The sequence below is a fragment of the Homo sapiens genome, chromosome X, assembly GCF_000001405.40.
Source record: "Homo sapiens chromosome X, GRCh38.p14 Primary Assembly".
Classification (NCBI taxonomy): Eukaryota; Metazoa; Chordata; class Mammalia; order Primates; family Hominidae; genus Homo; species Homo sapiens.
The window spans coordinates 8,226,791-8,242,944 of record NC_000023.11 but is presented as its reverse complement, the minus strand read 5'-3'; the positions used below and the strand labels follow the sequence as shown (position 1 = coordinate 8,242,944).

At 35.6% G+C, this 16,154-nt stretch overlaps 1 long non-coding RNA gene across 4 annotated transcripts in view; it reads right to left on the bottom strand.

Moving 5' to 3' along the window:
- LOC107985675 (uncharacterized) overlaps positions 1-16,154 on the bottom strand; it is a 528,885-nt gene that overhangs the window by 213,440 nt on the left and 299,291 nt on the right. For 3 of the 4 annotated variants that reach the window (XR_001755783.2, XR_001755782.2, XR_001755784.2), the window contains exon 2: positions 14,540-14,610. This is a non-coding gene — a long non-coding RNA (uncharacterized LOC107985675). Of the gene's footprint in view, positions 1-9,530; positions 14,611-16,154 lie in introns of those variants that run through there. The other variant, XR_007068387.1, reaches the window with a different exon arrangement.

Below are 16,154 nucleotides of genomic sequence, written 5' to 3'. Positions count from 1 at the left end.
CAATCAGCACAAACCCAGGCAGATGGAAGTAGGAAGTCTATGGATTTTAATCGAGCTCAAGGAGAGGGAGGATTCAATGATAACCAAAAAAGAGTTACAGTTTTACCCTTGCTACTTTTGTAAATTTGAAATGACTGTCTTTTTCATCTTGTAGCCATAAAGCAAACTCCGTAACTCTCAAGTTGTAGATCTAGCCAATTTTAAAATCTGCTACCGCATTTATAATTCTCTATTTTTATCATGTTATTGCCACTAAATTCACACACACGCGTTGCTGATGTGGTCTGAAGTTTTTGTTGGCATGACTTGAGTGCTGACAGATTCCTTCATATTTGAATATCTTCCAAGCCCCAAACAATCTCCACTCTGCACCACCTCACAGCATATGTGCTTATCCCACATTTTTCAAAGACAGAATTATTTTAAGACACTGATTTGCCGTCACCGCATCCCTTTTATTTATCTCCTCACCTGTGCATTTTCTTTGCCTTTGTTTCTTGAATTAAAATGTAAAAGGCAACCAACTACCAACTGAGTAGATGATGTGAAGGAGGAAGTGTCAGAAATGTTAGGTTACTCCTGAATTAGAGTAATTCCTTAAGAGATGCTGTGATAAGCAGAATCTGGAAAGTCCAACCCCACAATTCCTTGCCCTGATGTTCGGAAATATGAATATAAGATTTCACACCGTACTTATTTCCTCCTGTGATGGTGAATATTGAGTGTCAACTTGATTGGACTGAAGGATGCAAAGTATTGTTCCTGGGTGTGTCTGTGAGGATGTTGCGAAAGGAGATTAACATTTGAGTCGGTGGACTGGGAAAGGCAGATCCACCCTCAATCTGGGTGGGCACCAACTAATCAGCTGCCAGCACGGCCAGAATAAAAGCAGGCAGAAGAACGTGGAAATACTAGACTGGTTTAGTCTTCTGGCCTACATCTTTCTCCTGTGTGGGATGCTTCCTGCCCTTGAACATCAGACTCCAAGTTCTTCAGCTTTGGGACCCGGACTGGCTTCCTTGATCCTCAGCTTGCAGACGGCCTACTGAGGGGCCTCACCTTGTGATCTGTGAGTCAATACTCCTTAATAAATTCCCCTTTATATATACATCTATCCTATTAGTTCTGCCCCTCTAAAGAACCCTGACTAATACACTTTCCAGGGCAAAAGGGTTAATCTGAAGATGTAAATAAGGTTACCATTCATTTGATTTTGAGTTAGTAAAAAGGAAGATTATCCTAGTGGGTCTAAACCTGTTGCACGAGACCTTTAAAAACACGATGTTTTCTCTGGCTGATAAGAGAAGGGGAAGTCAGAAATATTAGAAGCAGGAGAAGGAGTCCATGCATCCTTGATGGCTTTGGAGATAGAGAGGTGGTAAGCAAGGACAAATGAGAGATCTGAGACTGGCCCCTGGTCAAACAGCAATAAAACAAAGACCTCCACCCTACAATTGCAAGAAACTAAAATCTTCCAACCACAGATTCTTCTCCAGAGTCCTGAAAAGAGCCTGGTTGTCTGTCATCCTGACTTTGGCCACATGAGACCTTAAGCAGAGAATTCAGCAATGTCTTACTGGATTTCTGTCCTACAGAAGTGTTTTAAGTCTTCACGTGTATGCTAATTTGTTACACAGAAATAGAAAAGTAATACTGATGCCTTCTACGACAACTTAGGATCTGCTATTTTGAGATTATTTGGGGCTATAAATGTCCATTTAGGGACTGATTCACTATACTTTCTCTCAGGGTAGCAAGTCAAACTGCTTCTGCCCGCTAAATACTTTTGAAATCCACCCCTCTCCTATTTTCAGCCTAGTGACTTTCATTTGAACTTCTGTTTAAGAGTCCTCATCTCCTTCTCCTGATCTCCAACCTCCCCACCCTTCCACATATTCTTTGAGCTCTTTCTTCCACTGTACGGCTAGATTCATCCCCCAAAAACACAGCTGAGACCATGTTATTCTGCTAACCAAAAGCTACAAATGACTCACCAGTATCTACTTCATGAAGTAAAAACCTTCCTGTTGGAATTCAAGTTCTCTAAGGCTTTCTCCAGTCTCTCCCTCTAGCGTTACTTCCCTTCTCTTGACATCACACACTGTTTTTTCCGTCAAACTGATTGCATTTGCCCTTTTTACAGCATGTTCTCACCTGTGCCTCTGCACGGGTATGTTTCTGGTATACATGCCAAGATGTGAGTCAATCTTCACAGCTTAGTTAGATGTTACCGACCATCTGAGGCCCTCTTGCACGGTATGAGTGTCTTTTTCTACTTTAAATTTCAATGGTGCAAGGATATGGCCCTTGGAAGTCTGTGTCTCCTGATTGAGCTAGTAAAACACATCTTTTGTAGCCCTTATGAGCTTCTACAAGATTACATCTGATTTATATTCATCATTGTATTCCTTAAAGCACTTGTTTCAATGTTTTATGCTTTGTGGATTTCCAAAAATGATGAATTTGTTCAAGCAGTAAAGAATAGCTAATGATACATATGTTCCTCAAAATACATAAACCATGTACATTTAAGTAAAAACATGCTAGATAACAAAAAAACGCACAAGATGATCTGAGTTGTTGTTGTTATGGTTGTTGTTTGTTCATTTGCTCATTTTTAGAAGAAAGGAGAAAAGAATAAAGGAAGATTGGACCCATGTGGTATAGAAATATCAAATACTAAATATGGATACTTCCTGTTAGTGGGAAGACACAAAATATAAAATACAGTCCACCCTTGAACAACACAAGTTTGAACTTCACAGGTCCACTCATACATGGATTTTCTTCTGCCTCTGCTACCCCTGAGACAGCAAGACCAAGCCCTGCTCTTCCTCCTCCTCCTCAGCCTCAACAGGAAGATGATGAGGATGAAGACCTTTCTGATGATCCACTTCCACTGAATGAATAGTAAATACATGTTCTCTTCCTTATAATTTTCTTAATGATATTTTTTCTCTACCTTATTTTATTGAAAAAATAAGTATATAATACATATAACATACAAAACATTGACTATGGTATTCATAAGGCTTCAAGTTAACAACAGGCTATTAGTAGTTAATTCTTTGGGGAGTCAAAAGTTACATGCAGATTTTTGACTATGTGGAGAGTTGGTACCTCTAATTCTCATGTTGTTCAAGGGTTAACTGTATCTTATTTTTATGTTGCACATATTTCATAATTAAGTCTTTCTTCTTATTTTACATATTAAGCCTATTTCTTTTAGCAATCCTAAGACTAATTTAATGACCTCTAAGTCAAAATGACTGGCTGACATTTTCTCTGCTGTTATTCTCAAACTTCCAAAAATGTGTTGTTCATTGCCACAGGCATCCTTTGCTCTTTAATTTCCAATCCAGTTTAGGCAAACAGTAGGGGTCAGATGTGAAACAAAGTTGATGAACATAGAGTGAATTCAAACTCCAAACTGTAAGAATCTTTGTTTGGAAAGGGCTTTCTTTGCTTCTGCTTAAAAAGAGATATTATATAATTCCATGGTCTTGAATTTATTAGGCAGGATCTAACCTTCCGTGTAGATAATTACAGAAGACAGTAAAAACAATTGGCATTTAAAATAAAACTGTTGAGGCCAGGCATTGGTGGCTCACACCAGTAATCCCAGCACTTTGGGAGGCCGAGGCAGGCGGATCACCTGAGGTCAGGAGTTCGAGATCAGTCTGGCCAAGGTGGTGAAACCCCATCTCCACTAAAAATACAAAAACTAGTCGGGCGTGGTGGCACGTGCCTGTAATCCCAGCTACTTGAGAGGTCGAGGCAGGAGAATCGCTTGAACCCGGGAGGTGCAGGTTGCAGTGAGCCGAGATTGTGTCACTGTACTTCAGCCTGGGCAACAGAGCGAGACCCGTCTCAAAAAGAAAATAATAAATAAATAAATAAATAAATAAATAAATAAATAAATAAATAAAATAAAACTTGAAAAAGTAGTTGTTTGAGATGTGGTTTCACATTCATAAAATCAAAATATTTTTCTTAATGTCTATAAAAATATTTACTCTGTCCTTTCAGAAGCATTTTATATCTTTTATTTTTAAACTTATTTTCAACAAAATAAAGTCATAATATAAGTAACTAGTAAAAATGGTATGTAAAAATGGAAAAATTTCATAGGAATGGGCTAATTATACTTTATTATTTGTGAATAAAATTATAAAAATGACATGTATTTTATTGAATGTTTAAACTGTTTCCTTGTATTATAATATAGTAGAGTGGGAGGATACCAAATACTATAATAGAAGAAACATTACTAATCATTTATCCAATCTCTTCATTTTACAGAAGAATAAACAAAATTCAGTGAAATATGGGGTTATTGTGCAAATTGTGTTCTCTGCATCTTAGATTTGAATCACCAAACTCTGTTACATATATGCAAATATGCTGATGGAATCACAACACATTTAAGTTAAATGATTTACAATTATTCAAATTAAATAATTATTTTAATTCTTTAAACAATTATTTATTGTCTGGTTTAATATTGTAGATTAAAAAAATAAACCTTTCCTCCCTTCCAGATGCCCATTTAAAAAATTAAATAAATAGAAAGGAACTGTCATGGTAAGGAAATGTAGAAGGTCAACTCTCAACAACAGATTTTAATAAGTTTCTGGAAGGGATATTAATGTAAGAAACTGAACAATGCAAACCACCTTCCAGGATGTGTGTCCATTATCCAGTCATCACTCAGACTAACACCACGAGAGAAAGAAGGACAGTGGGTGGGTGAAAGGAGCTGGGTGATTATTAGATTTCCAGTTTAGCTTCTCTACCTGCCTTGTTCATGCCTGCAAAGAAAACAAAATAAAACAAAGAGACAAAAACAGAGGGCTTTTCTCCCTAAAAGCCATACAACAATCTAGAGAAAACTGGTAAGCGGACAAGTTTTGTTGTCCCAAAATAAAGGATACCTTTAATCCAACATTTGGGAAATACGAAGTGACCTAAACAGTGGCATGATAACTGAAGGAGACTAGAAAGCCACCAGGGGGACTTTAACTCTGATAAGGCTCTCTTTCTGGGCATGCTGCATTAGAACCATGGAGGATGTACTCTGAAGCATGAAGCTTTGTAGGTCTCTGTAGCTATGGTGGTATGAATGGCAGAGCTGATGGTCGGCACAGTGTTTGAAGCCTGCAGGACGCTCAGGGGCCCGTGAAAATGCGTGGATTTATTTAAAATCAGAAGAAAAAACCCACAACTTTAGAGTCAATAAAATGTTCTAATTGTTTTTTTCACATCAGTAAATACGACATTTTTAGGATGAATGAAATACATGATGGTGGGAGGCACTCAGCAGGGCAAGGGGCCGGGGTCCCAGCTAAGTCAGGCCATGCTCTGAGGAACGGTGCTCTTTTCCTTCTGCTTTTCCACATTTCAGAATCAAGTCATAGAAAAAGATTTAATGATATTTCCAGAAACAAATTTAAGTTTCATAAACAATGCAATATATATGATACATAATTATATAATACATATCTATATAATAGATAATAGATATATTATCTGTTACAATCATATATTATATATTGTATATTATCTATTACACAATTGTATATTATATATTAAAACTGACTATATGTTATATAATAAAATACATAACATATATGATTACATATGTTTATATATAATTATTGTAATGCATAGCTATGGTATGATTATATAATAATTGATATCATGAATATATTATATAGGATTATTATATATTATATTAATATGGATTATATTATTTATATGTGTGACAGATTATATATAATATTTACATATATATTCATTATATATAATTATGAAATATGATAGATAATATTTATCATATATTCAAGGGAGAAAAGATCAAAGGGAAAAAGTGATGTGAGGAAGGAAGCATATAATATTTATCATACATTATATTACATCTGATATATTATGTTATATATCATAATTATATATAATGAAATGCATAATATATACTATAATGTAACATAATTATATATCATATAATATATATTTATCATGTTATATATGATTATATATTGTATATTATATTGTTCTATAATATATAATATACAAATTATATACTGTATATTATATAATCATATAATGTATATAATATATGACATATATAATATACACAATATATATCATATATAAAATATGACAAATATTGTTATACTATCTATGAAGCAATATATATTACAATATATATCATGTATAATATTATATATTATATTATATCATAATCACATGTAATTAATATATATAATTAATATTTTATATTATATATTAATTATAATATATAAGCATATAATGTATACAATATAATTATATATATAAAATATATAATACTATAATTCTATTAAATATGTTAATGTAATGAACACATTCAATATAAATATATATATGGTGAAGAGGTTGAAGGTGAGATAAGATCTGGCAAAATCATAAGGGTGCTAAAATTCACCTTAGTGGACAATCAAAAAATTTTTCAAATGTAAACATATATTATTTTGAGTTCAAAAGTTAATCAGTAAAGCTTAATAAGTACCTTTAGAATACTGCAATAGACAAAACAATCCCCCTCTAAATATGTCCTTGTTCGAATCCCCCCAACATTGTGACTATATTAGCTTACATGGCAAAAGGGACTTTGAAGGTGTCTTAAGTCAAGGATTTTGAGGTGGAACTATCATCCCATGGGTCCCTATGAGAGAGAGAGGAGGTTTAGGGGGAAAAAGTGACATAAGGAAGGAAGCTTAGTTTGCAGTGGTGCATTTTGAAGGTAGAGGAAGGGGCCAGGAACAAAGGAATGCAGTTGTCATCTAGAAGCTGAAAAAGGGACGGAAAGAGACTTTCCTTTAGAACCTTCAGAAGGAATGCAGCTTTGACAACTGCATTTAGCCCAGTGAGATTCATTCCAAACTTCAGAACAGTAGAACAATAAGATAATACATTTGTGTTGATTTAAGCCACTAAGTATATGGTTATTTGTTATAGCAGGAATGGAAAACTAATAAAAATATATGCATGAATTAATGAATGGCTGAATAAATGAATGTGTGGATGCATACATAGAGCTGATTATGAAGGGTGTGTCCATAAACAAGGACTAGTACCACCAAGTTGCCAGGTTTCTGTAATGATGTGTTTTATACATCTATTGTTTTGTTCAATTGATAACTTGCTTCTTGCCCTCTTTTTCTGCATGTTAATGTACTTTAATCATCACCGTGTATAAGTGTACCTCACCTTATTATGCTTTGCTTTACTGTGCTTCACAGACACTGCCTTTTATCTATATTGAAGGATTGTGGCAACCCTGCATCCAGCAAGTCTATAGGTACCATTTTTCCAACAGCATGGGCTCACTTTGTGTCTCTGTGTCATATTTAGGTAATTCCTGCAATATTTCAAACTTTTTCATTATTATTCTATCTACTATGGTGATCTGTGATAAATGATCTTTTATGTTACTATTATAATTGTTTTGGGGCACCATGAACCATGTTCATATATGATGGCAAACTTAATCAATAAATGTTGTGTGTGTTCTGACTGATCCACCTACCAGCTGTTACCCTATCTCTCTTTCTCCTCAGTCTTCCCTATTCCCTGAGACACAACAATGTTGAAGCCAGGCCAGTTAATAACCCTGTAATGGCCTCTGAGTGTTCAAGTGAAAAAGAAGAGTCTCATGTTTCTCACTTTAAAAAAAAAGCTAGACATGATTAAGCTTAGTGACTAAGGCACATTGAAAGCCAAGATAGGCCAAAAGCTAGGCCTCTTGAGAAACACAGTTATCCAAGTTGTTAATGCAAATAAAAAGTTATTGAAGGAATTTAAAAGTGTGACTCCAGTGAACACATGAATGATAAGAAAGTGAAACAGCCTTATTGCTGAAATGAAAATAGTTCAAGAGGTAAGGATAGAAGATCAAACCCATACAACATTCCCTTAAACCAAGCCTAGTCCAGGGCAAAGTTCTAATTTTCTCCAATTCCATGAAGGCTGAGAGAGGTGAGGAAACTGCAGAAGAAAAGTTTGAAGCTAGAATATGTGGGTTCATGAGGTTTAAAAAAAGAAGCTGTCTCTACAACATAAACGTGCAAAGTGCAGCAGCAGGTGCTGATGAGAAGCTGCAGCACATTAGCCAGAAGACCTAGCTAAAATCACTCATGAAGGTGGCTACACTAAACAAAAGATTTTCAGTGTAGGAGAAACAGCCTTCTATTGGAAGAAGATGCACCTAGGACTTTTGCAGCTACAGAGAAGTCAATGTGTGGCTTCAAAGTTTCAAAGGACAGGCTGACTCTCTTGATAGGCAGCTGGTGACTTTAAGTTGAAGCCAATGCTCATTTACCATTCTGAAAATCTTGGGGTCCTTCAGAATTATGCTAAATCCACTCTACCTGTGCTCTGTAAATGGAAGAACAAAGCCTGGACAACAGTACATCTGTTTACAGCATGGTTTACTGAATATTTTAAGCCCTCTGTTGAGACACACCAATCAGAAAAAAAGAGATTTATTTCAAAATACTTCTGCTCATTGACAATTCACTTGGTAACCCCAGAGCTCTGATGGAGACGTACAAGATTTATGTTGTTTTCATGCCTACTAACACAACATCAATTCTGCAGTAATTACTTATGGAGTAATTTTGGCTTTTAATTCATATTATTTAAGAAATATATCTTATAAGGCTATAGCTACCATAGACAGTGATTCATCTGTTGGATCTGGTCAAAGTAAATTGAACACCTTCTGGAAGAGATTTACCATTCTAGATGCTATTAAGAACATTTGTGATTCATGGGAGGAGGTCAGCCTACCAACATCAACAGAAGTTTGGAAAAAATTGATTCCAACCCTCATGGGTGATTTTGGGGGGTTCAAAGCTTCAGTGGAGGAAGTAACAGTAGATGTGGCAGAAATAGCAAGAGAACTAGAATTAGAAGTGGAGCCTGAAGATGGGACTGAATTGCTGCAATCTCATATCAAACCTGAATGAAACAGGAGTTGCTTCTTATGGATGAGCAAAGAAAGTGATCTCTTCAGATGGTGAACATGCTGTGAACATTGTTGAAACAACAATAAAGGATTTAGAATATGACATGAATTTAGTTGATAAAGCAGAGGCAGAATTTGAGAGAACTGACTCCAATTGTGAAAGAAGTTCTACTGTGGGTAAAATAATATTAAGCAACAGAGAAATCTTTCCGGCAAAAAGATTACATGACTTGCTGAAGGCTCAGATAATCAGCATTTTAGGCAATAAAGTATTTTTAATTAAGGTGTGTACATTGTTATTTAGACCTAATGCTATTGTACAATAGGCTATGGTACATAAATTTTATATGTACCGAGAAACCAAAAAATTCATGTGACTTGCTTTAATTGCAATAGTCACTGTATTGTTGTGGTCTGGAACTGAACCTGCAATCTCTCCAAGGTATGCCTGAATACCTTGGTATACATGGTATACATTCACTTAAACTAGCTGAAGGCAACAAAGAGATGATTCTCCTCTTGGTACTTGTTTTAAAACATTTTATTAGATGATTTTTTGGATTTTGAGTATACATTCCTGGCCCGTTACATAGCAGGAGAATGTTTTCTTAATATTACCAGAATTTCCCCTAATCAGAGCTCCAAACCACATATTGGCCACTTTACAAGAAACAAGAGCCAGCCAGTTGACATCTCTAGCTGAAAGCCAATACCAGTTTTTTGGGCAGTTCCACAGCCACCTTTTATTAATTTAAAATGGGGGTGACCGAAACATTTTAAGACCATGACTGTGGGTCAATTCCCTGGGAAGATGCTCATTTAGAATGTACCAGATATGCTGTGATGTTAAACTTCAATATTCAAAGAAGTTTTTCAAGTATATTGTATAGTAGTTGCAGATTCTACCTTATAAACTGGGTGTTGCTAGTCTCATAAAAACTGAAATAGAAAAAGACACAAGTATCAAATACAGTTCTAGTTATGACCCACGATGGTAGTTTTAGCTGTAGATTCATACTGAAATCAACTGGGGAAGCTTTAAGAAATGGAGCCATCATCTTTCCCAAACTCTTCCACCCTCTGCCTGCATTGAATTAGAATCTCTGGGGATGGTGCTCCACCAATAGCATTTCTAAAAACAACTCCTTTCAGTTGATTCCAGTGGGGAACCCAGCTAAAGAAAAATTGTCCTCAGGCAGCTCAGCTATTGAGATCCTACACATGTGACATGTTATTCAATGAATACTGGACTATCTGGGCAAATGGTTCATGATATCTGAAATACTGTTGACGTTTGACTCACTCCAGTCAGCTGAGAACTGTCCCTTATTCTTAATATTTTGCCTTTAACTTGACACATGCTCCATCAGTGTTGTTATAGATATGACTAAATCCTACTCTAAAATTTACCCTTGGAAGTGATTCATAATCACATAATGAATATCTCTGGGCCTGTTTAAAATTGTTAAGATTGGACCACCCTAAAACCACAGCAAAGCTAAAATCAGGCATACACGTCAATGTTGTTAAAATTTCTTTGTAGTGCAAGGGTTTTCAAATATTCTGTTCAGTTAAAAACTCATGAAACTATCTGGATTCCTTTTAAATTTCATTTTCCAAATCAATTGGGCCTTCTCTTGAATCAATAGAATTGAACAAGTATTACAGAGAAGTAAAGTTTATTTTCAATGATAGGGACTTGTAAAAATGTGTTTCAACCTAATGTTTCCCCATTTTCATCTATCTTCTCCGAATAGGTAATTACTTTCTGGATTTTGGAATATTTTTCTCCATGATAAAATCATCTTGACAGTGCTGTATTTTGCAGACATTTCAGTGTGGGTTTCTTATTTAATTGGGTGACTTTCTCATGTCTTCCTAATCTCTCTCAGCACTGGCATAATTTCAGATTATTTAAATTCTAAAAAACTATTTATCCTTTAATTATTTATCCTTTAATTAAATACTACTTTATTACAAAAAAGTAATATTTACCATTACTTTTAATGGCAAAAACCACAATTGCTTTTGCACCAACCAAATAAAACTTGTTTGTATTGCATACAACATATTTTGAAACATGTATACATTATGGAATGGTTCAATTGGGGTAATTAACATATGTATTATTATGAATATATATTTTATTATATGAAATATAACTTATTCTTTGTTGCCAGAATATTTAAAATCTACTCTCTTAACAACTTTCAAGAACGCAATACCCTGTTATTAACTATAGTCACCCTGTTTTCCAATAGATCTCTTGAACTTATTCCTTCTAACTGAAGTTTCATATATTCTGACTTAACGGTACTATAACTAAACTGCACCTATAAGAATTGGGAACAAGAGCTAATCATATGTTTGAAAATTTTCAAGACCTAATTAGATGTTTTCAGAAAATTTCCAAACATTTGAACATGTAGATCTTGATCCTGGTTCTTATAGGTGCAGTTTGAATCATAGTTCCATTAAAGTGAGCATTCCACATTACTGGAAAAGATCAAAGGAGTCTTTTTTACGTGTATTTATTTTCTCCCCTCCATCCTTCTTTCTGGAAAGTATTAGCAAAGTATTACTTTTTTTTTTTGTAGCATCTAGTTAAACATTTTTAAGTTAGGGACAGATTTAATGGCAATATGTCCCATTTCGGTATTGTTATTTAAGGCTCTCTAGGGTTGATTCTTCTGAACTGTACCACCCAAAGTTACTTCAAATAATCCTAGATGGCTGGGTCCACTGTTATGCTATTCCCAAGGAGGGACTAAAGAAGGTAGAGATCACAAGGTTTAGCAACATTGTTCATCATAATCTGGTTCCAAATCTTCATTTGAAATTTATATGGCATTTTCTTCCTCTTCACTGGGTTTCCACTTTATATTTAATTCTTTCAGGAGATGACAGTAATGTGCTTCCACTCCAAAGCCATTGCCAAAAAGTAAAAAATGATTGTTTTCATGAGCATCATGAGGCAGAGTCTTTTATTTTCCTTATTTCGAATGAAAAGCATATATCTTCATGTATTTTGCATGCTTACATCCCAGGGAAAGAATATGTAATTATTTCTCCAATTGCTGCCTTAATTTTTCTACTTTTGTTTACTACAATATACTGAAGTCTGTGTATCTTTTTAAAATAAAATAAATCTGTGAAACGGCGACATTGCGTTAAATATATTAAAGTACAAAACACTCTCAGTAGACCAAGGGAAGGATTACAAATGACACTCAGATATCTGAAGAGTAGAATCAGCAACTATGTATGTGTCTTACTGCTGTATACACATCTCCAACTAAATATAGAGACACATTTTGCCTTATATTCTTATAAGAAAATATATAAAAAATAACAAAAAATAAACCAATTACAATACTTGGCATTGTATTCTCTCCACATCAGACATTATTTGCCTCAATGGTGGTTCCTGTAAATGCCCATCTTTTGCTGATCCAAGAAGTACAAATATCTATGATCACACAATGTAGAACAGGAGCCCATTTGGTAAAACCTATGCATATTTTAAAATAGAAGAGAAAGACATCTAAATGTTCACAAACCTTAATTATGGCAAGGCATGGATGATTTGCTGATTCCTCTCCTTATCTTTATTTAACTATCAGGGGTAACTTTTATTTTTGATTTTTTGAGGCAGTCTTGCTCTGTCACCCAGGCTGGAGAACAGCGACGTGATCTCGGCTCACTGCAACCTCTGCCTGCTGCGTTCAAGTGATTCTCTCACCTCAGCCTCCCGAGTAGCTGGGATTACAGGCACCTGCCACCACACCCGGCTAATTTTTGTATTTTTAGTAGAGATGGGGTTTCACGATGTTGGCCAGGCTGGTCTCGAACTCCCAAACTCAGGTGATCTGCCTGCCTCACTCAGCCTCCCAAAGTGCAGGAATTACACGTGTGAGCCACTGTGCCTGGCCAACAGTCATTTTTAATGAAATGAAATATTTTTGTAGAAAGCACCAGGAATGATGGCTATGTGTTTAAGTAGCATATGCTCAGCATGTGAGACATCAGCTTCATCTACTGCTCTTATAATTACCAGAATTGTCTAGTTCACAAAATTGAGCCATGACTTTTGAAATTGCCATTATACATAGGTGATCTAAATATCCCCACATGGATACAGTACACTATTGACCCATTATTTGATAGTATCTATAACTTTTTCCAAATGCAAGGGGAGAAAGTTCTATGATGTCTTCAGATTCTCTGGGTTTTTCAATTCCGGTTTTTGTTTTTCTTTTGTTTTTCTGAATTCCAAATGTCTAGGATCCAATATTATATGCGTATACTTCATATTACAGAAATATCAGCTAGAGATTATAATGGACCATTTAAGTTTCATAAATAAGAATAAAAATATTATTCTGGTGTTTTGATTAATTAATAGAATGGTCAATCTTCTTATGCATTACATTTTTAAAAAATAACATCACAGCTGGTCAATTTACTTTAAAAAGAATTCAAACAAAATTAGAGAAATCAAAAATCAAAGCAAACTGAAAGTATCATTTTAGATCCAATAAATGGTCCAAATATTTTAAAAAGAGATATATTTCAGGGGGATAGTGGGAGAGGAAAATGCCATAACAGTTTTGGAAAGAAATATTTTAAGAACCATAAAGAAAACATTGAACATAATCAATTGGGCACTTACCATATATTGACACTAAACCAAATATTTTATTTATAAACTGTCCTAATAACATTCCTATTAGAGAGTTGTGTCTGCACCCACTTTAATAAGAAGAACACTGAAGTTGAAAAAGCTAAATAATTAGTTGAGGTCACACGTTGGTGGAGAGACGAGATGAAGCTGAAAGGAGGGCCTTTCCTTATTGATGGGCTCCTCTGCCCTAAACCATGCTGTTCTAGCCATGGTTTTCAAACATTAATCACAGAAATCTCCTTTCTAAGCCTTTCTCAAAAAGAAATCATTTCAACTAACCAGAAGATATGTGTATGAATATATTTGTGACAGTAAAAATTACGAAGTGCATACAAAAGAGATGCATAGAAAAGGTTCTGGAAGGTTGATCAAAATACAAGGATTAATTATAATTTAACATTCTGAAGCCTATTTGTCATTATGGAAAATGATGCCAACATAGTGTTAAATAAAGATGCAGGCAAAAATATTTCATAAAGAATATAATTTCTAGTAGATAAAACATAATTCCAAGTTAATATTTAAAAAACATTAAAAAGTTATCTTAGGTTGTAAGAACAATGTTTTTAAATTTAAATATTCTGTAACTTTGACATTGAACTTACTACCGTTAATTGTGTGCAGTTTGAACTTAACGAAAATCTTCAAAGACTTTAATTTAGATGTGATTTAAAAACAACAGAGATCCATTCAGTCTGCAATCATATAATGGAAAAAATATAACGTCATTCATATACGATTTTTCCATTTGACATGGCCTAGAGAAAATGTGAGCTATCTTCTGCTATAAACAACCTTTACATTCTTGGAGCTGTCAGGGTAATATCTCTGAACGTAAGTTTCCTTACCTGAAAAATGATGAGTTTGGAGGACACAATCTCTTAACTTGTCTTCATAATAGTCCATGAATTTGTAAGTGCTAGGAAGAAAATAGAAAATAAGAAGCAAATTCATTGGCATGGCACTATGGGTGATAATACGAGGATAGTTTCAGAATGATAACTGACATCATCAAAAAAACATCAAAATTGGAAAATTTCAGCTATGGATAAATTAAGTATCTCTCTATAGATCTATATAGTAAAATGAAGTAGCCAAGCTATCAATTTTGTGATATATGCAGCATTTTAAACAGGTGATTATTAGGACTAAATTTTCAGCCCATTAGTGATGGATTAATGGCATAGCTTGCTTCCAAGGGGAACTCTTATGGACCCTATGAACTCTCACCTCCACAAAAAAGAGATGGGGCTTGCAGGTGGCCTGGTATGTGTGGAAAAGGTGATGTGCAGATAACTCCCATGAAGCACTGCTAACCTCTCCTCAATATGTGGCCAAATAAATTAAGAATGCTCTCGGCCGGGCGCGGTGGCTCACGCCTGTAATCCCAGCACTTTGGGAGGCCGAGGCGGGCGGATCACGAGGTCAGGAGATCGAGACCATCCTGGCTAACACGGTGAAACCCCGTCTCTACTAAAAATACAAAAAAATTAGCCGGGCGTGATGGTGGGCGCCTGTAGTCCCAGCTACTCGGGAGGCTGAGGCAGGAGAATGGCGTGAACCCGGGAGGCGGAGCTTGCAGTGAGCCGAGATTGCACCACTGCACTCCAGCCTGGGCCACAGAGCGAGATTCCGTCTCAAAAAAAAAAAAAAAAGAATGCTCTCAGTGGTCATCTTTTCAGCTCTCTTTCAATGCCTCCTTCTATTGCCCTTCACTTCCCCATCTCTCCCCTCCCTTCCATAGGATACACTCTTATTATAACATCCCATCCAGGACTCTAGGTGCTCAAGTTTTTCCTTTACCCACATAAGTTTTGCCCTACATAAGTTAGTCCTCAGAACGTATTTGGTCAGGAGATGCCTGCTGTCTGATTGAAACATATAAACCCTTTCTTCATGTTTCAAGTGACCTCTTGCTGAGGAGGTTTATCTTGAGTCAGGGTGCTTGACCTAAGTTATTATGAAGACAGAGAGAGAGAGAGAGAGGAAGAGGAAGAGGAAGAGAAGGAAGGAAGGAAGGAAGGAAGGAAGGAAGGAAGGAAGGAAGGGAAAGGAAGGAAGGAAGGAAAGGCGAGCAGGGGAAGGGAGAGATGAATGAAGGAGAGGAGGGAGGAAGGGGCAGAAGGAAAGAAGAGAGGAAGTAAAGAAAGTAGCATTGAAAAAAGATGCTTGCACAAGAATGTTTTTAGTAGCACAATTTGCAATTGCAAAAACGTGGAACCAGCCCAGAGCCCATCAATCAATGAATGGATAAATAAATTGTGATATATATATATATATATGTGTGTGTGTGTGTGTGTGTGTGTGTGTATGTGTATATATATGTGTGTGTGTGTGTGTGTGTGTGTGTATAATCAAATACTACTCAGCCATAAAAAGGAATGGATTAATGGCATTCACAGCAACCTGGATGGGATTGGATAGTATTATTCTAAGCGAAGTAACTCAGAAATGGAAAACCAA